Source organism: Homo sapiens, chromosome 3 (genome assembly GCF_000001405.40).
Source record: "Homo sapiens chromosome 3, GRCh38.p14 Primary Assembly".
NCBI lineage: Eukaryota > Metazoa > Chordata > Mammalia > Primates > Hominidae > Homo > Homo sapiens.
This window is the reverse complement of record NC_000003.12, coordinates 111,685,860-111,712,974: the sequence shown is the minus strand read 5'-3', so window position 1 is coordinate 111,712,974 and position 27,115 is coordinate 111,685,860. Positions and strand designations below refer to the sequence as shown.

The 27,115-nt window shown below is 39.4% G+C and overlaps 1 protein-coding gene across 1 annotated transcript in view; it reads right to left on the bottom strand.

The window, feature by feature from the left end:
- Positions 1-27,115, bottom strand: part of PLCXD2 (phosphatidylinositol specific phospholipase C X domain containing 2) — a 52,332-nt gene that overhangs the window by 14,033 nt on the left and 11,184 nt on the right. The window contains exon 2 of the mRNA NM_001413064.1: positions 4,589-5,049. Coding sequence (NP_001399993.1) covers positions 4,589-5,049 — 461 coding nt within the window. The remainder of the gene's footprint in view (positions 1-4,588; positions 5,050-27,115) is intronic.

Below are 27,115 nucleotides of genomic sequence, written 5' to 3'. Positions count from 1 at the left end.
GACCGCTCAGGATGGTGGTGATGTTGAAAATAATTAGCAAGCTACATCCACAGCATTAATTAGTTTCTGGGAGGCAGCTGTGGGATAGGAAACTGCTATTTTGATCGTCCCAATTCAGAGCTCTGCTGTGAAGGTTTCTAAAGGAATATATTTTTCCCTGTCCCAGGCACTAGTAATCTTTTCCTGGAGGAATGCCCTGCACATGCTCACGAGGCCTGGACTGCCATCCCCGGATAGTTGGCCACAGAGGGTAATCCTCCCGGGCACCCAAGAACAAGAGCTCTGGATGTCAGCCTCATTTCCGGTGTGCATTTAGCTCGTGACTAAGGTGCCTGACTAACTGCTCCCCAAGGCCCAGAGCTGGGGAGCACCAGGCTGGTTGCACTGAACTGGGTAACGGCTGTTCTTGTTGTTTCTAATGGTTTTGAGTAATGTCTGACTGACTGCTAATGACGTCTGTGGTAAACCGGTGTGTTAATGAGGTTAATCACAGGCTCATGATAAGCAGATTGCCTGGGGGAAGGGGAGGATTTCCTTGTAGAGGTGTAATTGGCCAGGTGGTAAGCCTGGGGGCTGTGAGGAAAGCCGTCCTGTGCAGTGGACCGTGGGAGAGGTGGGAGGCGGTGCAGCCCTGTGACAGGACCTGTCAGACACATCTTGGGCCTGCCCGTGGGCCACATTTCAGGGAACGAGAGGACTGTGCCATTCTTTACTCTGCCTTGGAAAAAGTGCATTAAGTACAAATTATCCAAAAGGGTCTTTATGCCTTTCTTCAAGAGCCTTCTTGAGCAATCTGACCCTAAAGGTTACAGGGAGAATTTCTGTTTACAGGGGGAGGCCGGCCTTGCAAACCAACTCCCACTGTACAGGGATCTAGGTGCAGCAACTGTCACTCAGGGCCTGTGTTTTGCATCTGCCTCCCTCTCCCCCCAACCTCTGTCTGCTGTGTTTTTCTCTGAAATACTCTCCTCTCTATCTCAGTGGTTCATGTTCAGTTTTTCTCTTGAGACTCAGATTAAAAGTCTCATTTCCTTCAAGAACGATTCCTTGATGGACCTCCTCTTATTCTGGTCATTCTTTTACTTGGAGCCTCTGGGATATAGACTTAATGCTACGTTCTACTTTTCAACTGATTTATTACAAAATCCCCTTCTTCATATAGTACAGAACATTTGAGGCACTTTTATCATGCAATTGTCTATCAGTTGTTTCGTATTCCCTAGTGTTATGTACTCTTACCATTTTATTAAGATCCTAAATACTTCCAAGATGTAGATTAAATCTCTAACTCATTGTACCCTCAAAACCCATAGCCACTAATGTACAAATAAATATATACCTATGGCTATGATGTAATTGCATGTTAAGTAAATGAAATTTGACTGAATGGTAGCATACTTCTTTCAACTAAATTGTAGTAATAAAATACGCAGGGGCTTACATGTGAGGCAGCTCATTACATGAAAAATATTTAAAGTTTAACTCTGCCCTGGCAGTAGCAGGGATGACTGGTGCCTCTGTTTGAAATCTCTTTGTTTAGCTTTATTTTATTTTATTTATTTATTTTTTTGAGACGGAGTTTCACTCTGGTCAGCCAGGCTGGAGGGCAATGGCACGATCTCAGCTCCCTGAAACCTCTGCCTCCTGGGTTCAAGCGATTCTCTTGTCTCTGCCTGCCGAGTAGCTGGGATTACAGGCGTGTGCCACCATGCCCAGCTAATTTTTGTATTTTTAGTAGAGATGGGGTTTCACCACGTTGGCCAGGCTGCTTTTGAACTCCTGATCTCAGATGATCAGCCTCGGCCTCCCAAAGTGCTGGGATTACAGGCATGAACCACCGCACCCAGCCTGTTTAGCTTTCAAGAAGAAATGTGGCAGGAAAAACATGGGAAAGAAGGGAGCACAGGGGGATCTTAGGATTTAAACTGATGATGCTCTCCCTTTTTCTGAGATATCATCACAGTCTCTTTCCTTCATAACTTTAGAAGTATTTGTAGTTGGATAATACAGTTAAATTAGCCCATGCTTAAAAAACTATGATAGATCATCACTCTACTGTTAGAAATTCACTGCCTACACTATTCTTTATTCCTGAAGATACCCCTTACTCCTGCAGATTTGTAAGCAGTTTAGTATGCAATATGTCAACCCATCTCAATCCTGGCTGTGTATAAAATTATATCTGTACTCAAATTTAACCGAATCCCCAAATTCCAAAGCTCTCCATCCCTTTCTCCCATTCTGCTAATTCTCTGAGATCTTCTGATAATAGGGGCTCATTAATAAAAGCAAAGTATTTCATTAGCCTAATATACAACACCAGTTGTGAAAAACACCAATGTGCCTAAATACCCCTCAGAGAGCATGAGAAGCTGTAAGAACTCTGGAAAGCCAGAAAGCCTGCGACTGAATCCTGGTTCTCACTAACTAGGATTTTAAAATTTGCCCAGGTTTCTCTCGGGTGAGTTGCTTAGTGTCTCCATACCTCAGTTTCCTCATCTGTAAAATGGTGACAATAACAAAGTACCCATCTCATGGTGTCACTGAGAGGATCAAATGAGTTAATCCATGTACGTAGCTCATTGTAAAGGTTCAATAAACATTAGTTGTTGTTACCATTATCTCATATTGTAAAAGAGAAATGCCACTGGGAAAAAGTCTCTCCAAGTTAGACATGAACAGATATAAACTTACTTTTATGGTATAGAGGTGTGATAAATATTTAGCAAAATATCACTTACAAAAGTCTTAGTGAAGAAACTTGTTTAGATAGACTTTAGCAGATACTAAGAGTTAACTCATGAAGCCTCCGTGGTGTCGAAGACATTTAGAACTTCTCAGGGTGCGCAAAAACAACTTGGTATTTCCAGTTATTCCGGCCAAGCCTGGGACTCATCCTTGAATCCTCATGTTCTTTCATACCCCAAATCATATCCATTAGGAAACCCTGTCGGCTCTACCTTCTGACAGATGCAAAATCTGACCACTTGCCACTAACAGTCTCACTGGGTTCCTTACTTCTGCCCAATCCCCCTGCCCTGGTCTCTTCCTAGTATTGCAACCGGAGAGATCTTATTAAGACCTAAGTCAGGCCACAACATCCTGTGCCAGAACTCTCCTCGCTTAGAGTGAGTGAAGGCTAGCGTCTTTACAGGGCCTTCTAGGCTCACATGATCACCAGTCGCCTCTCTGACCTCCTCTCACTACTCTGTCTTCACCTGCTCTACAGCCATACTGCATGTTCCTTTTCCTCAAAGATGGCAGGGACACTCCTGCTTTTGGGTCTCTGCACTGCCTGCTTCTTCTGCCCCCAAATAAGCATGTGATTAACCCCTTCAAATGTCATCTTTTCAATGAAGCCTCTCCTGATCAACTTTTAAACATTTCAACCAATCCTCCAACCCACAGAATCCTGGTTCCCTCTCACCATGCTTGACCTTTTCGTTTTCCATAGCTCTTATCACTTTCTAACACTTTATGTGTGTGTGTGCGTGTGTGTGTGTGTGTATATACACACACATATATGGAGAGAGAATATACATATATGTATATATGTGACACACAGACACATACACACACATATATGTATGTTTATTATCTCTATTATCTATGATCTATCTCCCTCCACCAGAATGACAGCTCCATTAGGGCAAGGTATCTTTGTCTATTTTATTTACTAATTTATCCCTAGTCCTTAGAGGTTACTTGGCATGTACCTGGTGTTTAATAAATATTTTCAAGTGAATAACCTTTAAACTATTTTTAATCAAAAGCTCCTCCTTGAGTTAAAAAATATCTGCCTCGTAAAGTTGTTTTGGTTAATGCATCTGCTGAGCAAGTGAGTAACTTTGAATGAAAGGTATGTCTTTTTTTTTTTTTTTTCCAGAGAGTGTAAATTAAACACTTTCCTGAAGCTCTTTTCTCCTACTGTCATCCTTTAGGATCAGAGTGGAATATATCTGAGGCCCACATTCCTCTTCCTGAGCGTGTCCCTCATGGTCCTAGGCTGGCAGGCTCTTCTCAACTTAAGCAGACTATGGAATGCTCTTACAGGCTGCAGCCCCTTCAACAGGCTCTTCCTTCCTTAACTCTCTCTCCCTCTAAGACCCAAATACTTTTATAATATTAACACTCCTGAGATGAATCACTATGTTTCAGTCAGCTAATACTTTTCCTAATCAGTCGATACCTTGGCCAGGATTATCTGACATTGAGTTGAAGGCAAGATGGAACAGACTATCCCTGAGGGGAACCAGAAGGGTAAAAATGGACCTCGGGAAACAGAGAATAGTAATGACCTATTGGCCCAATTTTACAACTTTGCCTTGGTTGGTTCTGGCCAGGCCACTAAAAGTCAATTAGATGTCAAACAGTTTGCTGGACAAGCTTTAAGTATTTGGCAGGTGTTAGCCCTGGCCCTTGAACCTATTCTAGAGCCCAGGAACTAGTTTGCATATGTTTAATATTCCAAACAATCCACTCTTTAGCCTAAGAGCCCTGGATTGAGTGATTTTACAGACGGCAATACAGGAAAAGCAGGAAGAGTTAAATTCTTGCTCTTGGAAGCTTATCTCTCCTTCCCTCCTACCTGGCAGTTCTTCTCCCACAGAGTTCGCAGCGTCAAACTTTCCACACTGCAGGCTGGGCACAGCTTGTTTCCAAAGGCCTCCTGGATCCGCAGAACCAGGCATTTGTGATGGGTCTCATCCATGGCATAGAAGTGGTTGAAATCCAGGAAGATAATCTCCTGGGGGTGCTGTGTAAGAAACGAGTCAATTTCCATCAGCCCATCCCAGACCTTGATGCCAAAAAGCCCATGGATGAAGTAGATCTCCTGGTCGGCATCCCCTGGTTTGGAAGACACACGCAGGTCAAAGTAGCGGATCCCAGCTTCCAGCTGTTCTCGAAATGTCAGGTTCTGAGTCACAGACCACTTCTTCATTAGCTTCTTCACCAAGGAGATCCTGGCGAGGCGTTTGATAGCTTGGGTTTGGTCAGGCCCCACTGGGGACTTTTCATCCACCCAGTAGCTGAATGAATCATGTGAGCCTGTACAAAGGAATACAGGTGAGGAAAGCAGATGAGACGGGAGCTGGGAAAAATAAGCCAATTGATGAGAAAACAAAACAAAACAAAAATTAAGCACCAAATAACATACTAAAACTGCAAATGAATAGTAGCAAAATTTGCCAAGCTTGCTAGGAATAAAATAAACACAAAGAAAAGTAATGTAGCAGCTTGTTAAGCCTGGGGTAATACTATAGTTTTCATATATTTTGCTGGCATAAGGCAAATTAATAAATATCCTTTTGCAAAGCTATTTAGAAATATGCTGAAAATAGGGGCTTTAAAATATTCATACAATTTGCTCCAGTAATTTCATTTCAGGAAAGCTATTCTGAGGAAATAAACTCTAACATTCAGGAAAACAAAGATGTCTGCCAAAGAATATTCATAATAGAGACAAACTGGAGATAATGCTTAAGTGTCTCTTATAGAAGAATGCTTTGTTGTGGTATATCCACTTTATTCATGCCATCATTGAAACAGAGGGTATGAAAACACTGTGTCTATCTCAACAATGCCGAGAAAGGGATTTAAATTCTAGGAAAGGCAGGATTTCAAGAAACTAAACTTGCTTTCTTTTTATGTTTTTAAAATATATAAAAAATTGTATATATTATTTTACTATTGTAAAAGTCTGAGTCAGTAGGAATGATTTATTGACAGATCAGCTAACCATTTCGATGGGCTCAACACAGTTTAGTTAATATGTCCCTCTTTTTGAATTCGTACCTCAATGAGCCAAAACTGCTATTAAATGGTCCAAACGCACATTCTGTTCCTCTGTCTTAACAAAGGGATAGTATGAAATGTTTTGTAAATGTCTGTTATGCCTGTTTGGTCTATAGTGCAGATTAAGTCTGATGTTTCTTTGTTGATTTTCTTTCTAGATAATCCATCTGTCCAATGCTGAAGAAGTCTGCAACTATTATTCTATTGGAGTCTACCTATTTAACTCTAATAATATTTGCCTCATAAATCTAGGTGCTCTGGTGTTAGGTGTATAAATATATTTACAATTGTTATATCCTCTTGCTGAACTGATCACTTTATCTTTATATAATGACCTTCTTTCTCTTTGTGTTTTTTTTTTTTTTTGCCTTAAAGTCTATTTTGTCTGATATAAGTATAGCTAATTTGCACACTTTTGGTTTCCGTTTGTGTGGAATATTTTTTTCCATCCCTTACTTTCAGTCTACGTGTGCCTTTACAGGTGAAGTGAGTTTTCTGTGGGCAGTATATAGTTGTGTCTTTTTTTTTTTTAATCCATTCAGCCAGTCCATATCTTTTAATTGGGGAATTTAACATTTACATTTAAGGCTATTATTGATAGATGAGGACTTAGTCCTTGTCATTTTGTTAATTATTTTCTAATTACTTTGTATATTCTTTGTACCTTTCTTCTTCTTTTATTGTTTAACTTTACTATAAGCAAACATAGAAGAAATGCTTCAAGACATTGGTCTAGGCAAAGGTTTCACAGCTAAGACTTCAAACACATAGGCAACAAAAACTAAAATAGACAAATGGGACTATATTAAACTGACGTCTCCACCCTAGCAAAGGAAACAATCAAGAGCGAAAAGACAACCTGTAGAATGGGAGAAAATATTTACAAACTATTCATCTTACAAAGGACTAATATCCAGAATATACAAGGAATTCAAACAACTCAATAGCAAAAAAACTAAATAATCAAATTAAAAAGAGGACAAAAGAATTAAATAGACATTTCTCAGAAAGAAGACACACAGATGGGCATGGTAGCTCATGAGTGTGATCCCAATACTTCAGGAGGCTGAGACTGGTGGATCGCTTGAGTCCAGAAGTTTGAGACCAGCCTAGGCAACATGTGTGAAACCCTATCTCTACAAAAAATACAAAAAAAGTAGCCAGGAGTGGTGGTGCACACCTGCAGTCCCAGCTACTCAGGAGGCTGAGGTGGGAGGATTGCTTGAGATCAGGAAGTTGAGGCTGAAGTGAATGACAAACATCGTACCACGGCACTCCAGCCTGGGTCAGAGTAAGACCCTGTCTTTTTAAGATGTTTGTCATTCACTTCAGCCTCAACCTCCTGGTCTCAAGCAAACAAACGAACAACAACAAAACCATATAAATAGTAAACAAACATAGGAAGCAATGCTCCATGTCGCTAATCATCAAGGAAATGCAAATCAAAACCACAATGAGGTATCATCCCTGCCCAGTTACAACAGCAATTATAAAAACAAAAAAGACAAAAAATAACAAATGCTGGTGAAGCTGTAGAGATGTATGTAACTGTTGTTGGAAATGTCAAGTAGTACAGTCATTATGGAAGACAGTATGGGGGGTGCTGAAAAAACTAAATGTAGAACTACTACACAATCCAGCAACCCCATTAATAGGTATTTAACCAAAGGAAAGAAAATCTATATATCAAAAGGATACCTGCACCCCCATGTTTACTGCAGCACTATTCACAATAGTGAAGATATGAAATCAACCTAAATATTCATCAACCAACGAATGGATAAAAAATGTGGTATAAACACATACTGGAATACTATTCATCCATAAAAAAGAATGATATCCTGCCATTCACAGCAACACGAATAAGCCTGGGGACGTTATGTTCAGCAAAATAAGTCAGGCACAGAAAGATAAATATTACATATTGTCACTCATATGTGGGAACTCAAAAAACTTTTGGAGTTCACAGAAATAGAGAGTAGAACTGTGGGTATTAGAGACTGGAAGGGTGGCAGAGCAGGTAGGATAGAGAGGCTGGTTAGCAGATACAAAATTATGCTAGGACCAGGCGTGGTGGCTCATGCCTGTAATCCCAGTACTTTGGGAGGCCGAGGCGGGCAGATCACTTCAGGTCAGGAGTTTGAGACCAGCCTGGCCAATATGATGAAACCCTGTCTCTACCTTAAAAAAATAGAAAAATTAGCCAGGTGTGGTGGTGCATGCCTGTGGTCCCAGCTACTTGGGAGGCTGAGGCGTGAGCATTACTTGAACCCAGGAGGCAGAGGTTGCAGTGAGCTGAGATGGTGCCACTGCACTCCAGCCTGGGAGATGGCTAGACTCTGTCTCAAAAAAAAAAAAAAATTATGCTAGATAGGAGGAATGAAGTCTGGTGTTTTGCAGCACTGTAGGATGAATATGATTGACTATAATTTATTGTATACTTTCAAAGAGCTAGAAGAGAGGATTTTGACTGTTCACAACACAAGGAAATGATAAATGTTTGAGGTGATGGTTATACCAATTACACTGATTTGATCATTATACATTGTATACACGTATTGAAATATCACTCTGTATCCCATAAATATGTGCAATTATTACTGTCAACTAAAAATAAAAGGGCAGGGGGTGTGAGGAAGAAAGCATGAATCCCCCTAGACAGAGATTATCTTTTTATGAAGTATGAGTGACCACCATAGGCATATTCCTAATTACAGTGAGAAAATATTTCAATAGTAGCTATTTCTAGATGAAAATCATCTTTAGCAAATATCTTTCATTTTGGTTATTGGTTCTATCCAGGGTCAACCATTCTTATGTCTATTATCCACTAACTCATACGGAAGCTAATTTGGTTACTGCTGTGACTGGCTCTGAGGTGAGGGACTCCACACAGCTGGCTTCACTTTGCAAGTAAAATCTAGAAGGAAAATGCCTTTGCTTTGGCACTACTAACCTTGTTCTTAACCACTACCCCCCGCAATATTACCATCAGAATTCCTGTATTCATACTAGTTCACTGTCATCCATTTTCCATTTTTATAAATTTTAGCGTAGGTATTTCACATATAATACAAAATTTTACCACACTACCATTTTATATTATTTCAATTTTCTTGAAAACAAATCATTCTGTGATGACTCAGTGTTTTGTTTCCTAAGAAATAAAGTGAAAAAGGAAAAAAAAACCCATCAAATAATGCTTTACTTTTATGTAGCATCTGGAACATAGAGGCTATCCAGTAAGTATTAAGAAAAGACCTATTTATTCATCCTTAGGCAAATTGAATTTTGCAAGTGAGAAAATTACCAGCATATTTCAGGTAAGAAAAATTGCCATTACTAATAGAAATGTGGAACAAGTCCCCCTGGATTTTCCACATTGGTTATCTCTGTTAACGAGGCTCCCTGGATACCTGCCTACTGCTCTGCTTCCTTTGGCTGTATAGCAACAGGAAATTTTTATACCTCCTCATTGAGAGATTTATTATGAATACATTAGATATAGATGGTGAATAGTGAGTTCTCTCTTCTTTTTAAATTTCATTAACAGCCCAGCTGTTCAGGATTGAGTGTGTAATATAGTGCAAGGCACATACTGAACTTAATTCTTCCCTGGGCATTAGGGAATAGCCATTATCCAAGCGTGGAGGAGAGATGAATCCCCTCTGGTGTTCTCTTGTTGGTGTTGAGCCCAGTTTCATCTCCAGAGGGAGATGTGCTAACAACCTCCAACACTTTTCTCTGTGTCTGAGGACTGTGCAGAAATGTGACAGCAATGGGACCCCAGGGATCATTTTGAATATAGAGGGACATACAAGGTACCCAGCCCATCCCACAGAAGAGGGAGAGCATGTATATTTCCTAGGAACAGAGTCTCTTTTTACCTCTTTGTTCTCTTTTCATTTCCCCAGCCCCACCTTAGGCTTTCTGACATCCTGTGCCCAGCACCATCCCTGCATCCCTCCAACCCCCTTTACAGGACAGGACAGGACAGAACAATGAAGCAGATTGCTGAATGTTTTATAGCACTTGCCCTATATAGGCCTATAGCAGTCAAAGCCAACTCTCACTTATTAACCACTATCAATATTTTTCCTGTCCTACTTATTTCTTTTCCAGAAAGCTTTCATGTCATATGGAGTGGGTGAAACAACATTTAACTGCCTAAGTGCATTAAATTATTTCTTTTTCGAAAAACAGGCTAACAATGTCCCCCCATTCCTGCACATACAATATTTATAAACCATGTAATCTGCAAATAGTACTTACAAATAGAAAATCCTAATATTTTATAATTCAAATTCACTATCAAAGTTTGTTCCCTTATTACTCCCCTACAACTCATGGAAATTATTTTATTCTTTAAAGACAGTGATTCTTCCCTTCTGTCCTGGAATGTATGAATAAAATTCGAGCATTTCTTCAGAAGAGGAGGAAAATACCCTGCACCACTGATCCTTGCCTTATTCTCTAAGAGAATTGCTGCTTGGGAATTGGTAGGGATAGCAGTTTATTTTATGATAAGGTCAGCAAACAGCTTAGGACCTCATCCCACTGTAATTTCTGCTGCTAAAATCATCTTTGCTGCTACTACCTGGTATTACCTATGCATCTTCACTCACCTCTCTCTATGGCTTCTTTATCTCTGTCTAAAATATATTTAAGTGGTACCCCTTTGTCTTAAAACAAAACAAAGTACTTTTCCTTACATGCCTTACTCCACACACGATTGTCTTCTCTTTCCTCCTTGCTATCAAATTCTTGAAAGTGTAGGCCAGTCCTGCCGCCTTTGTCTGCTATGACATACTTCTTTCCATCTGAGTCCACTTTCTCTCCTTCTGTTGCTACTCTAATTCAAATGGCCATATTCTTCTTGGTTTCTATGTGGGTTTGCCAAGTCAGTTTGTTTGTGGAACCTTCCATTCCCTTGTGCTCAGTGTATATTTCTGCACATTTCTGGGTGTTCCCATCCTTCCTTTACCTTCTGTCTGCTTTTTTGACTCGTCTTTATTGTCCCTAAATTTAAATGTTTTCCAGGGATCTGTTCTGTATTCACTTCCTCTGTCCACCTTCAGAGACTTCAGTCCCACTCCCCAGTTTACCACAGTATCATTATGCAGATGACACCAAAAGCTTCCTTTCTAGCCCAGACTCTTGTAAGTTGCAAACTTACATTCCCACCTTCCTGCTATGGCCTGCCTCCAATGGCCTGCTCACACAACAAAGTGCGTATTTTCAAAGTCTAGCTTCTCCTGCTGGCCCTCTCATCCCCACAAAGTGCCTCTCCTGAATTTCTGCCAGTAGTCACCCAGTCACTCAGACTTGAAATCTTGGATTCTATTTAAACTCTTCCCTCTCTCTCACCGTCTTCATTTAACCAGTTACCAAAACCTTACATTTGACCTTTGTAACATACATCAAACCTGTCTCTTTCATTAACCTTCAACTGCCACTGTTCTCATTGATAGACTCATTGCCTGTCAAATAGTACCAAAAACCACCCAAACAAACAGAAACCCTAATTTGGGTCCTTTCACTCTAATTTGTTCATACTTAAAAGGTAGTTTTCTTAAGATACAGCTTTGATTATGACACATTCCTCCCACTTCCCGCCTTCCAAATAAAGCTCAAACTCAACACTGGGGGTTTAGAATTGTCTTCAATATGGTACCAATGCATTATTTCAGACTCATCTCTTACCAGGCCCCTACTTATAGCCTGGAAACTGTTGGTATGCAACATACACAGATAGGCAGGCCCCTTTCTGGACTCTGTTCACTTTTGCTGATACTCTGTAAAATATTTTCTCACCCCAAATATGTCTATATTTTCTCCCCAGCATTTGTAACCCATATTGAGTAAGTTGCTTTTTCCATGTCTCAGTTTCCTCATCTGTCAAATGGGCCAATAGTACCTATTGTCACAAAATTATTGTGAATATTGAAATGTAAGCAAAGTGCTTTGAACAATACTGACACTTAGTAAGTGCTGAACTGTAATTATTGCTATTATTAGCCATTTTTAATTAGTCAGAAATCAGAGTGTGAAGGGCTGATTAACTGAAGCTTCTTGCCTTAAATACTGATGGTCTAGAAGATTTTATTTTCTGTACCTGATTCATTGTTCCTCTCTATCTTATTAGCTGACATGGAGATGAAAACTTAGCCTCCACTCTGTTGACTATAGCCACCACCACTGTTTTGGTCACAGTCTAAGTTTGTCATCACCCACATTGAAAATCTTAAAATTTAATTTCTGACTTTTTGATCACAAGTTTCTTTACTTCTGCCACGCTGCAACCTGACTTTTATATTCTGCCCCTGACCCCCCGCCCCGCCCTACACAGTCTGAGAGCCCACAGCATTGGCTTTACTTCATCCTTCAGTTATATCCAAGATCATCCACTTGCCAGTTTTCACCTGCAGAATTATTAATTATAACTATCTGAAAGCTGTTAAGAGCCTGCTGAGGTATATTGTCTGTCTATACAGTCCTGAAATACACATACGAATATTAATATGACATTTTCTAACACACCTTTTTACTAACAACAAATTTTTTTTTTCCTCTTCTCCAATATATTTCATTTATAGAGGAGAAGCAATATGATCTTAGGAAGTAATTGGCATCAAATACTAAATGACTGTTTTCAGACTTCTCTGTGCTGAGAATTTTATGGTCATCTAAAAACTATTCCATATATAGCAGTAAATATGGACATACAAGTCCCTCCTTAATGTTCTATATGCATAGGACTAATTTTAGCCCTTAGAAAGGTGAAGTTTTTTTCCTCCAGTTTCTAGAAATTGACTTTTCTCTAATCCTTTCATTTTCACAATTACTACCCCTGTTTCTTCCTATTTTCTTTTACAGTCAACAGTCATTAACGGTGTTTCTTTTTCCTTTCTGTGTGCATACAAAAATCCTGAATCATGTATGTGAAAGCACTTTATAATGTAAAGTGGTGATCCTCAACCTTAGATGCATATCAGAATCACTGGGAGGTGGCAGAGCAGGGGGCGCTTTTAAAAAACACCAGTGCCCATGAGCTCACCCCAAACCTTCTAAGTCAAAATCTCTCTGGGACGGAAGCTGACAAGCTTCTTGCTGATTCTAATGTATACCCAGGCTTGATACTTACAGCCACAAATGTAAGATTATAGTTTCCCAAAAGTTCTCTGATTTCTGGGCATGGTCTTCTCTGGCTGGACTTCTAGTACTTTCAAACCTTCAAATAATAATCTGGTGAAGTGCCTTTCCCATGTATTGGTAGATGCTTTCTTCATCACTCCTTTTGTTCTAAGATACACCCTGCCCTTTAACCAATTAAATAACCACAGCTTGTTTGTGAAGAAGAAAAATATTGGGAGGCCTTGGTTTCCTTATCATGCCTCCTAGTATGTGATTAGATTAGGTTACTTAAGGTTTACTAGGATCCTTGGGATGTGCGCTAGGTTACAGAGCTCAGAATCAAGTCCCTGTGGCAGCAAAGTCACACGGGAAGAGAGAGATTTGAATGCGAAAAGGTTAGCAAGATTTTTACTCAGTGTTATAGTTATTGCCTCCTAGGTAGTGTTAGATTATTTGAGAGGTAAGGTATGAGAAAATGAGCTAGCTGGCCTTGTGAAGACCAGGCACAATCAGTTTGCTCTTTATCTGGAACACAAATTACTGCTTGATTCTTCCTGAGGGTTGCCATTTGGGGATTAGAGATCTCAAATGAGTGCATTCTAGTTTTTAAAGCACTTTCATTACCCATTTCTTGCAAATTGGAGTAGCTGCCATTTTCTGAGCTCAAATAAAAAGAATTTAAAGCAGGCTTCTTGGGAACCTGGTTTATAAATAAAACAAAAAGAATTCAAAACACACACTATGAAATGATACATTTCATTACAGTACAATGGCATTTCAGATTACATGATGACCACACTTGTAGCCATGGAGGGAAGATTGAGACAAGAGTTAAGTGAAGCTTATAAGAAGATAGAGAGAAACTCCCCATCTGGGTAGGTGAGGATGGTGACCCTAAGTCAAAGAACTCCTGACTTCACATATTTAAGAAAACCTCCTGTCTTCACCTCCCTTAGGTCCTCCTGTCTCTAAGTCCTTCTAACTTTGAAGCCCATTAGTTCCTGCAGGTGCTTCACTGATCCCACTCTCCCCACCCCATGTGTATTGACACCATTCAGTGTATCTGTGCCTTTAGGCACTGACATTGCAAAAATTTGTTCTTAGGGAGTGAAAAATCTTATTCTTCTATGTACAAAGTACAGATACATCTGAGTGTTATAATTTCACAGGGGAGGAGGGGGGGAAATAAGGAATAGAAATGCCTAATAAGACTCCTTCAGGGAGTGATTATGAACAAAAGGCTGAGACAGACCACCACCCTAGACTGAGGTTCCTGGCTTGTCTGGGCTGAACCTCTGACACTGTCTCTTTTTATCCTTAATTGGCCTGCCTCTCAATGCCTCCAGCAATGTTTCCCTCCCATCCATAAGGTGACCCAGTACTGGAAGGTTCTATTCCCATCCCCTGTCTCTAGAACACTAATGGGTTGGGAACCACTGAATTTCTTCTTTTCCAGTAATCTTTTTAAGTATTCTCACTTGCAATTTCCAGGACTACCAACAAATCATTTTTCTGTCTACACAGTCCCAAAGGACTCAGACTTGCACTTTGTAAGATACTAGTTAAGAAAGAACTTCACAAATGGTGAGTCCTAACACCTAACTTAGTGAATTACCATAGCTCTGAATAAGCTAAATGGAGTGTCCCCGCAGTGGATAGGGGCACAGAGTCTGTTGTCAGGCTGCCTGAGTTCATAATCCTGGCTCTACTGCCTACTAGTTATGTGAATAAAATGCTGGGCCTCAGTTTCCTCATCTGCACAATGTGGACAACAGCAGTACTAACTTCATTGGTCTGTTGTGAAGACTAAATGAGTTAACTCAGGCAAACACCCAGAAGAGTCCTTGGCTAATAGAATGAGCTCAAACATGTTATTATTATTAATTATTAAGAAATTTGTGTCATCTTTTATTTGGATGATACTATCTGAGAAACAAATAATTCTGGTTTTTAAATAAAGCCATGAAACCTCAGTAAATATTTATATTTGAGGATCTGTCATGGCAATTAACATTTAGGGCTAGGAAAAATGAAGTCTGTAGTTTAAGTCATTTATTTTAGGTTACACCCAAAATCAACATCAAAAGGAGTAAGTTTGGATCATAGTATTCTACAGTTGAAATTCAAATTGGCACTAAAACTAAAATTATAAATTATTAATATCTCTAGTCTGCTCCTATGTCAGTACTTGGAAATAAATACAGTGACTACACAATTTGCAAGTATAAGACAGAAAATTCTGAGGATGTTCTTAAACTTTTTATTTTTAACAACATAAAATTAGATGTCATCAAGTGATTTTTATGGAAAAACAAATCCAACCTGTTGCCAAAAAGATGTTGAATGACAGATTTTTTGAGAGTAGAAGCCTATATAATCCATTATTTGAAATGGAAAAAACAGTAATGTCTTCCCAACCCATCAAAAAAACCCTATCAGTTTTCTCAAATACCAAATATCATTAAAACACTCAAACACCAATGTAATCATCCACAGATAATCTTTCCCTAATATAAACAGCAGAACCAGTAATATTTTCAGAAGTTTTTCTGTATTTTTTTCTACAAATTAAAAATATTAATGCATAGTTCTTAGAGATGTAAGTATGGCCAAGTTTATGTTAGTTCATCTCTCTCAATATGCTTTATCACCCAATTTTTCTTTTTAGGCCTCTCGAGTGTGCTTGTTTTATTCAGAGGCTTTTTGCTTTCTTAGAAGACATTCTCACTCAATAATGTGGTAAGTTGAGAGCGCTAATGCACAGCTCGAGCCTGCTGGGAGGGTAGCTGAACTATGGATGTAACACATTCTCCATCTTTTTGACAAGGTGTACCTGCAACTTAAATGTTTTTGCTAGCTCACACGATGGGATTTTTTTATTTAAGTAGTGAATTCTGGATAAAATAAATCTTATAAGTTATAGCAAATGTTTGGATAGCAAGAGTTTGGATGGAATATCTACAGACGTGTTTGGAGCTAAGGTCTTCTCGGTTACCAAAGTATTTATGTGCATGTCTATGTGTACATGTTGGCACTAAAACTGGCCCATCTTAAATGAAATCCAGAAAATTCTCTTATTCAGTGGAAAAAAAGCCCACCTTTCATTTATTTGGAAATATGTTTACTAATATCAATAGAAAACTTCTAATAGATAATAATTATTCTCTAAAAATTCTTTTAAAGACAAATATTATTTTGAGCTCATTTTTGAGAGTCATCTAAATGCCATGTAAGCTCCAAATTTTTATCAAGACCTAAATCATATTATTTCTATCAAAACTAAGATCATCTGGTCGGTCCATCGTAAGCTTGGGCTAAAAACATATATTGGATATGCATGTATTTTCTATAACGAATAGTCAGAGTGTTCAATTAAAGCTTGTCTATTTTATCTCAGTCTGAATTTTAGGTCACATGTCTGTAATTTGCATATTCTTTCTCTATTAGCCTATACTTTGTCAAGTGAGGTCAGAGTAATGCAGGCAGCTTGCAAAAAAACCAGGTGCGGCTATCTTTCCAGTTACCCACTATAGCTGATGCTGCATAAAATTGCATTGAATGTCAAATTTAGTTTTCCTAATTAATAAAAAATATATAAACTAAAAAAAATTCTAGGCAAATTAATAAGATCTCAGCTGCAAAGACTCTTCCCTGCCCAGCAACAGCAAAAAGATATTAAAGGTGCCCAAACACAAAAGACCAAAAAAAACCCTTTGCTCACACTTTATCTTAATAAAGCTAAGTAATTCATATGATGCTAGCTACCAGAAGGTGTCTGGGCAGCAGTAAAGGCTCAACTAGGTCAGAAGACAATCTGTGCAAACAGCAGAAGAGAAAGCAGTATCATGCTTATAAAAAGATAGAAGATATAAGTGTTCAAGCCAAGAAAAAGAGTAATTTTTTCCCATCTCTGAAGGACGAAAATGAGAACAGATGCCCCCCTCCAATGGAATTGAATCAGAGATGTCCAGCTAAACAATAGCTCCTCCTCCCTCATCACTGCCATCTTTGAGGGTTTCAGAGATGTCAACCTCATGAGTTGTTAACCAATTTTAAAGAGTTGAATTTTTCTGAGAAAAAATAGTAGTCCCTTCTTATTTGCAGTTTCAATTTCCACAGTTTCAGTTAGCCACAGTCAACTGTGGTCCAAAACTATTAAATGGAAAATTTAAAAAATAAACAATTCATAAGTTTTAAATTGTGCCCCATTCTGAGGAGCGTGATGAAGTGTTTTGCCATCCCACAGGCCTTCCAGCCCAGGATGTGAATCATCCCTTTGCCTAGCATATCTACTTGGTAGAGGTTCCCCAACCATTAGTCACTTAGCCATCTCAGTTATCATTAAAACACTCAAACACCAATATAACCATCAACAGATAATCTTTCCCTAATGTAAACAGCAGAACCAGTAATGTTTTCAGAAGTTTTTCTGTATGTTTTCTACAAACTGAAAATACTAATGATGAGTTCTTAGAGACATAAGCATGGCCAAGCATGCCTGTTGCAGTTTCACAGTGTTGGTTTTCCAGGAACCCTAACTCTACTTGAGAATGACCCCAAAGTGCGACAGCAGTGATGCTGGCATATTGTTATAATTGTTCTATTGTATTACTAGTTATTGTTGTTAATCTCTTACTGTGCCCAATTGATAAATTAAACTTTATCATAGGCATGTATGTACAGGAAAAATTACAGGATGTATAGGGTTTGGCTCTATCCATGGTTTCAGCAGCCATTGGGAGCCTTGGAACATACCACTTGCAGATAAAAAGAGACTACTGTAAGAAGATTTTATGATTTGATTTATGGAGAGCCAGAAGACCCTATCTTCATAGAATTTCTATTAAAAATGTTTCAACAAGATTTTTTTTTTTTTTTTTTTTTAGAAAATGGGTAAAAAAATGAGATTTAGGCCCTCAAACACATTATCTCACTAAAAGTGCTTGGATTTTAATGACTTATGATTTTTAAGAAATTCAACATTTTTTTCAAATGTACTAAAACGAAGGCAGTCAAAACATTCCCACTCAAGTTCACCCTGATTAAAAACTCTGAATATATTCCTGAGGTTTAGAGAAACCACTACTTCATTTTACAAATGGCTGACAACATATGTCTCAATATGCATACAGGCAATACAGGCAAAATCAGCAGGCCAAGTTTCTGGAAGAAGAGCCATTTAGGAGCTGCTCCTCCTTCAGCATGAATGTCCACTCTCAGACTTTGACAGTGATGAGGATATGCCAGAACACCTCTCTGGCCCTTCAGAGAGCACCGGCCTAGCTGGACTCCGGATCCCTTAGGGTCCAGCTCTGACTTCCCATGGAGGCTGTCACCAGCTCACTTCCCTGTGGAACATCTTCCTGACTCACAACAGCAGCCAGCTCTGCCAGGACTATGAGCTTCCAGGTACAGCCATGTTGAGGGGCATGGCCACAGAGCAGTGACTAAAGGGACTAGTCTACAAAGGATGTTAAGATATTGCTTGGAAAAACTGCAAATTTGGTGCCAGTTGCTGCAGGTTTTCACCAGTGACTCCTTATGAAATGGGCAAGATGTTAAAAAAAAAAAAAGCTCTCTTCAATGCACATAGTAAACTCTTTATCTTGAAAATGAACATGCGATAAGAGAAAAAGTCATTTTTAATCACCACTCTCCTCTAAGCACAGTGAATACTGGTAGCTGGAGTATCTTCTGTTTGCTGAGCACCAACTGCAATATTCATCTCTGGCATTAATAGCTTTTGACATACTTGAAGCAGTATTAAGCAGTGGGTAGGGGTATGCCAATTTAGAGATAGACTCTTGGAAAGACCTCAGTGGATCTGCTGAGGAAACAGAGAGAGGTTGAGAAGCTGGGAGTGAAGGCTGAGGAGGGTGAGAATCAAAGGGGAAAAGGAGAGGGATCAGAGGGGGCTGCAGGGCTCAGAAGAAAGACTCAGGAAAGGAGGCAAACCTAATAGAAAATTTTCAAAGCTGCAGTATACTTTCACTTCTACAACTTTTACCAAATGAGGTGTAAATATTTTTAAAGCGACAGCTTGAAGGGGTAGCCTATTATTAAGCTGTCTGAAGCACACGTGTCTCAGTCTAGCCATTTTGATGCCCCATCCCTCAAGGGGCTCTGCTCTGTGGACCTTGCCTCCTGGCTTCATCTCACCTGGTGCCTGGATCACAGTCCCCAAGCAGGTGTAGACCTAGCTGGGGAGTGGGATAATACCACACAAAGGGGTGAAGGAGGTGGGAAAGTACAAGAGAAAGCTTTCTCTCTGATTGAGATGAACATCTTAAAAAAGACCCCTTTATGAACAAATGTTTTTCTTGGTATACTGGAATTAAAACCCTACCCAAAGCGCTAGCAACATAAACATCGAGAAGCAAGATATATCGATCTGGGGGCATTCGAAGGAGAATGATGTATAAAGTCACAAAAGCATGAAGTAGAAAATGAGATGAACACCAGGAATACAGCATTTCACAGATACTATTGAAGTAACTACAATAGCCAGAAAATGTAGTGTTCAGATAATCCACACAAATAGGTGACTTGCAAGGATGAGGCAGGGAAATCTTTTCATTAGTTGACTAAAAATGTACAACCACAAAGAGTCTAGCTTAAGCTTCACGTTGCTCAGAATAGCACTGCACTAGTGTAGAATGCAGCAGGTCGTCACTGCGGAGGCTCAGAGGTTCCGACTCTGCTCCTCCGTAGCCACAGATGAGTCTGATGAGGAACTTTCTATAAATAATAAATGCCTCAGCCTTGTGCTGCATTTGCCTTATTTAAAGGTAACAGATTACTGGAAAGGGTAAGCAAGCCCCTGGGGCTCAGGGGTAAGCCTCACAAACTCTGAGCAGCCTTTTATGAGCTTTTGCAGTACAATAATCTATATAAACCTCCTGGTGATTGTCTTATCTAGAATAAGTATTTAGATAACAGAGGCCAGCCCAATTCTCCCTTTGCTTTTCCCTGGTTATATAACAAAAAATGGTGGCATAGATGATGTGTTCCTTCTACCCCTCCCTCTTTCCCATTTGCACGTTATTGAACTATTTCCCTTAATTCTCCTATAAGCTGGTGGAAGATACAGACAGAATGGCCAGACTCTACACTTCCACTGACATTTAAAGGTCAAGTCTCCTTGTATCATAAATAATGATATCTCCCTTCCACACGTAGGGAAAGGATAACTGAAAATTACCTAAGGTCAGAGGGGGAGGGAACCTTTGAAAGTTCACCTGGCAAAAGGACTTGATTTACTGCAATTTTGCTGAACACTTTAGCTGAGATAGCTCGTTTCATGAAGAGTTGAAGGAAGTTAACATCAAAGGATGAATTCATCCAGCTATTGTTTTTCACCTCTGTTGTTAATTGATTTTAATTTGGTTACCCTCTCAATAAATAAAGACTTCTAAAACTGGGTCAATGACATAAATAGAATCTGGTTTTCAAATATTTTCTTTCATATAGAGGCTTTTAAAAAAATATTGCTGGACCCTTACTGCCAGGTGTTACCTTTGAGAGAGAGCTTCTATCTGTGGTCAAGCCATGTGGCTTAGGTTCATTTAAATTTCCCCATCTGAAGAAGAAATTCATTTTTCAGGAATCACATATTCAGTACATATCTCTTTAAAAATTCTCTCCCCCTTTCCTCTGCCCCTGGAACTCATGGAAACCTTTTCACCTAATAACTAAAAGCATCCTGGCCGGGCGGTGGCTCACGCCTGTAATCCCAGCACTTTGGGAGGCCGAGGCGGGCGGATCACAAGGTCAGGAGATCGAGACCATCCTGGCTAACACGGTGAAACCCCGTCTCTACAAAAATACAAAAAGAAATTAGCCGGGCGTGGTGGTGGGTGCCTGCAGTCCCAGCTACTCGGGCGGCTGAAGCTGGAGAACGGCATGAACCCGGGAGGCGGAGCTTGCAGTGAGCCGAGATCGCGCCACTGCACTCCAGCATGGGCGACAGAGCCAGACTCCGTCTCAAAAAAATAAAAAAGGAACCTGAAGACATTCAGTTTATCTCCCCAGTGTTTTTACCTCAGCTCTTTTAACATTAACTTTTTTATAACCCTGGTGGGGGCTCTTGCCTGAAAATAACTGAAACAACTTCAATCTATTGAGTGCTTATTATGTACCTAATGCCAGGCTGGGCATTTTACTTACATGATCTCATTTGACCTGTGCTACAATCCTGCAGGGCAGTGATTACCTGCATTTTACAGATGAGGAAACTGAGGCTCAGACTGGTTTTGCAACTAGTTCAGGGTTGCAAAGATTGCATGTGGCTGCCCGGGACATAGACCCAGGTCTGTCAGACCTCAGTGCACACAAAGATACTCTGGGGATGATAGTATTGGTTCTATGTCCTTATTGATTAAACAAGTCAAGTGCATTGTTCATTTACTTTCAATAACATGGTGATTGCAGAGTTTGTCTTTGGACCTAAATGCCTGGTCCCTGCCAGTGCAGGAAAATTGATGAAGAGATTAAAGCTATTTTAAATTTTGTAAAGACCTAAAGAATTTCTACATAGGGACACAGGAGGGCACTCTAACCTTCTCTCAGTTGAAGAAACAGTCTGTAATTCCACAGCTGAGCCTGAATCCCAGTGCTGGTTCTGCTGTGATTACTTCTGTGAACCTGGGCTTCCAAACTTGTACTTGGAATTCTGTTTCTTCATTTGCAAACTTAGGAAAGTGAGTGAAATGCGACTTAGGGTCTCTTCTATCTTAAGAATTGGATAATTCCACTTATTAACAGCTTACTAAAGGCATTTGTGACCATATTTATGAAGGACTATTCATCATTGCAAAGAAATAACATTTTTCTTTCACACTTACCATACTTAAACAGAAAATATGCCTGTAAATTTAACTCATCATATTTGCAAAAAGCAAATCATTCCAAGCCTAAAGTGGTATTTATTGCTTTTTGGCTGAGAATTTCGTCAAATTGCTGGAGACCTTCTTTCTGCTCACACAGATTCCTAGGACCCATATTCCTGTTGGGTCTTAGGTGTGTCCTACAGTGATTAAATGCATTGGCTAATAGTTCACTTATTGTTTAGCATTTATGTGACAGTGCCCTTCACTTTAAAGGCTGTTGTTTCATTATTTTGTGGGTCATTTTAATGGAATTTATCATTGGGACTTTGAAAAAACATATTTAAAGTTACCTAGTTTGGCTGGAATTTTTCACAGGGCAGAGTTATTTTAAGATTCATTTGATAAATTGGAGAATGAGATACAGAGAAGCTTCTTAGCTAGTTCCCCTCCAGGATAAGAAGAGGTTTTTTTCTCTTTCCTGTAAATAAAGGCCTAAGCTAGGTGTTCTGACAGAGGAAAGGGAAAAGGGAGGAGAGAAAATCCAGTAAGTAGCAGTTTAAATTACATGAAATGGTGGGCTTAAAGGGAATTTGTACATTACACCCAACGGGGAAAGTGAATGAAAACACACCCCACCCTTGAAGACCAGTGTTCTGAGAGCTTACACACCTGCTAAAGCCTCATGCTGGTCTTTCTGTGTAGAGGCAGAATAGAGGCCAGATAGATTTTTTTCTGTGCCGGAGCCTTGCTGGGTGATTACTACATAGACCACTTAAACCACTGGGCTGCTTTTGTTCTGAGTCAATAAAAAGCCTCCTAGATGTCTGGTCTTGAAAAAAAAAATGTAACTTGTTCAGCCAGAACAGGTCAGCATGTAGTCCTTCAAACATCACCATCCTCATGGGTGCTCATGCATTAGAGTCCCGACATGGGAGCAAATGGCCTCAGATGAAAAGAAAATTACCCTTTATTACAACCAACAAAAGAAACTAAAGTTACAACCCAACACTGGGTCAATCTCCAACTCTATCAATGACTTTTATTCAAATGCAATTAAATGAATTTGGCATGACCTAATTTTTACAATTCTAGTATTGTTATCAGGATTTTGGGGGGCCATCTGCTTAACCTCTCTGTGACTGAATTTCTTCATCTGTAAAATGGGGATAGTAGGAGTATCTACATCATTAATTTATTATAATAATTAATTGGCTTTATATAAATCAAACAGCAATATCGGTCCCCTAGGAAGTGCTATATAAATATTAAATGAGCAAGCTATCTTTCTTCTGCTTCTTTTATTATTATTATACTTGTTCTTACTCTTAAAGCCTTGAGGCATCTTGAGAAGACTGCAATGCAGTTATAAGATTTTGTCTTACCTTAGGCGTTACTACTTGCTTCCTGCCTGTCCTAGTTTCTCCTTAACTAGAAATATAGATTTTTAAATATCTGTTTTTTATGCTTAAATTCTTTGTAGATATATTTCAAGATTCCATCTTTCCCCTCCTTCTTCTTTCCCTCCACTTTTATCATAAGGTGCTTATTCTGAACAAGACAGCAAGTATACAGAAATGACAAAACAGTTGTATACAGCAGAGAGAAACAGTCCCAATGGGGTATATCATGTCCTATAATGGAAATGTGCACAGAGGTCATACCTGAACTGAACTGTAATTGGCGAGGCAAAGCGAAGGTGGGTTATTGGAAGGGAGGGTGTTCAAAGACTGGAATTATAACAGGGATAGAACACTTTCTTTCACAGTTTTCTTCAAGCCCAAAATTGTCACTGGCTCCCTATGGTCTACAACACAAAGCATAAAGTGCTTAGCACAGTGCTGAAAATCTCTCTCCAACTGGCTTGTCTGTCTTTCCGTAACTTTCCCATTTCCTTCTCCTGTCACTTCTACAGGTGACCATGGCAGCCCTTCTCTGTTTCCTGAAGGTGCCCTTGTTTTCTCATCTCTAATTTTGGGCATTTGCTTCCCTGTCTCTGGAATGTCCTTCCCTCTTCATGTTGAAATCCTCCCTGTCTCTCACAGTCCAGCTCACAGGTGCTCTTCTCCTGAAGCAGTTCCTTACCCACCAACTAGAAGTAACCTTTCCCTTTCCAGGTCCCAGCACAGTTTGCTTGTTTCTTTATCATGGTACTCACCTCATTCTGCTTTTATTTACTTTATTTGAACTCTTGTATATCTCTTATAAGATCTACAAACTACATCTTGTTCATTTTTTAAAAATGTCCCACAGTAGCTATTATGATATTAGGTATATATTAAGTAATCAAAAGGATGTTTAATAATAATAGCTATATATATATATAACATATTTATTTCATAATTGGCAATATTCTAATCACATTGTATATCTTATTTAATTCTTTTTTTAAAGTTAATTTACATTTATCTTGTTTAATTCTTTTTTGAAATTTAATTCTTAAGTAACTTTGTTGTGTAGTAAAAAATTTAAACCTTACCCAAAAGGAGGTATGGTCTTCGCCCTCAGTCCTTGGGAGGCAATTGCTTAAGCCCTTGGAATGTCCTGCCTGATCAAAGTATCTTTATTTACCTGACAGCTTTGGGCCATAAGGGAAAGTATAAGGATGTGATTTATGGTGCAGGATTTGAGTCACATGGGCATGGGCTTAACCTCTGAAGGGGCTGGATACTTAGGTCAGCCATGTGGAAGACCAGAAAAGATTCTGGACACCAAAGCTCAGGTGAGCTTCCCTGGTTAGCAGTACTTTGTGTGGTACTGTCACACATCAATACGAGGAAAGAAACACTGTCCATGAGAAGAGGACAACTGGAAGCTCCACATTTGGAAATTTCCTGAACTTTGCTCCATGCACCTCTTCCTTTAGCTGATTTTGATCTGCAGCCTTTCAGAGCAATAAACAGTAACTATGAGTATAACAACTTTCAATGAGTTCTGTCAATCTTCCTAGCAAATTATCAAACAAGGGTGATCTTAAGGCTCCCAAACCTGTAACTGGTATCAGAGTGAGGGTAGTCTTCCAGCTTGTGCTTCCTCTAACTTTGCACTTTTGAAGTGGATATTATAATTATCTCAATTTTACAGATGAAAAAACTAACAGACAGAGGGGTAAAGCTTTTTACTCAAGGTCATGCAACTATTAATAGTAGCGAGGATTTGAGCCTACAACCTACACTCTGAACTACTTTTTCATAGTGCCTCCTGTGTGAATAACAAAGAGAGAGAGAGGATAAAAGATATAAGAAAAGGCTGGGCACAGTGGCTCATGCCTGTAATCCCAGCACTTTGGGAGGTCATTGCGAGAGGATCGCTTGAGCTCAGGAGTTTGAGACCAGCCTGACCTGGTCTCTACTAGAAATAAAAAAAAATTAGCCAGGTGTGATGGCATGTGCCTGTAGTCTCATCTACTCAGGAGGCTGAGATGGAGAACTGCTTGAGCCAGGAGGTTGAGGCTTCAGTGAGCCATGGTCACGTCACTGTACTCCAGCTTGGGTGACAGAGCAAGACCCTGTCTCAAAAACAAAAAAAAAAAAAAGAAAGAAAGAAAGAAAAAACCCATAAAGAACAGAGGGATGAACATGTGTTCTTAAATGCTGAAGATATTTAGGGTGGCTTTCATAGAAAAACATCTTGTATTCCAATTCAGGTATTTAATCCATACAAATATTACAATAAATTTAATATGAACAGATAATAATTGTGCATGTTAAAATATTTGAGGCCTGAGTTAAGAATATATTAATTTACAAAGTTATTAATACATATAAGTACGCCTTATGGTCATTGAATATAGCAAAAGACTTGTCTAAGAAAACAAAAAACCCTTAGAGTCCTTGGGGACAATCTTATTGTCCCTTGCCTTTCCATTTTAATTACCATCATTAGTCTGTGAGCTCACCTGACTCTACCAAGGAGACTGACCTGTTCTTTCCTCTGTGATTCCATGGCAGTGAGTTGATATTTGATGAACTTAGGACATTGAGTGCTATTTATCTCCACATCTGTCTCTGCCACCTAAGTGAAAGTCTTTCAGGGCAGGAACATGTCAACTTCACGCTTATATCTCCAAACTTAGTTTCTGGAATTTAGTAGGTACTAAATGCATCTATACAGAATAAATACAAGCATGGATACTTGAATGAACAGATGCTCAGAGAGTTGCCTAAGGCTGGTGGGCCTAGCTCTCCTGATCCTTTCCCAAACTTCTATTAGGTCCATCCAACATTAAACAGGTAGGGTTCACTCTCTGCTCCTTTTCACCCCTTGCACCTGTTTCCTAGCTCCATTTATCTCCCTTTTTCCTTCTAGCTTGAGTTATCTGGGTCAATGAAGAGGAATGTGTCAGAAAACATAGAGGACAAAATTAACCAGAAAGGATGACTAAAGGAACAACTATAATAAAATATTACATTGAACAATTTTAAAAGAAAGGTACCAGAGAGATTTCCTGAAACTTATGCCTGCATAAATTATATTCTAATAATATCTCTTTGGAGCCACCAATCTCACACTTCTGAATTAGGTCCTTGAGAAAAATGTGACATTTGTAGAGAGCTTGACTCCATATTAACAAGTAGAGAAAGGCTGAGGCATCTTTAGGGTATACAAAATTAGTCATTATGAGTCCAAGATTCCAAATGAGGGGGGCCACTTAGTAGTCCCTTGAACCAAAGATAACATCTTTAAACCTTCTTCTCAACATATCATACTTGTTTATTTTCCATGAGGCATGTGGGAGAGTATTCATAATAACCATCAAACTGCCTGCAAAATCTGAGAGAGCCATGTGGCCAATTTAATTTTTAATCAGTCGCCTATTAAATTCATAATTATCCACAATGCAATAAAGCAACTGTTTAAGGCAGAATACTTGGAAGCAGAGGATGTTGATCAACTTATTCTTTTTTATGTGCTGAGAAGCCAAGGTGCATCTCACTGTCTGAGGAGAGACAGCCTGGGAATTAAAAAAGTCTGTCTTGGTCTACCCCTGCAACTGGCTGGATGAGCTCAGAGATAATTGAAGTAAATCAGAGGTTTACAGGGTACTTTTTAGACCTGCAATACTTTCAAATGAAGTATCTATGTGTGAAACAAATGCAACCAGACCTTCTCTAGTTGAAGTTTCTCCCCAACAGTCTCCACCCCTTAACCTGAGATTGCCAGAGGGGCACCAAAGGGTACTAAACCTTCCCTGCTCTGCAAGGCACAATGAGCATTCCATTGCCCAAGGTATTCCCCAAGTTAGCTCCAACGTCCTATGATTTATGTGAGCCAAAGGGTTTTCAATCCCATGTTGTGGGGGGGAGCATTTTAAAGCCCTCTACATGGGGAGGGGTACCTATTCTCTTTTGAAAGATTTT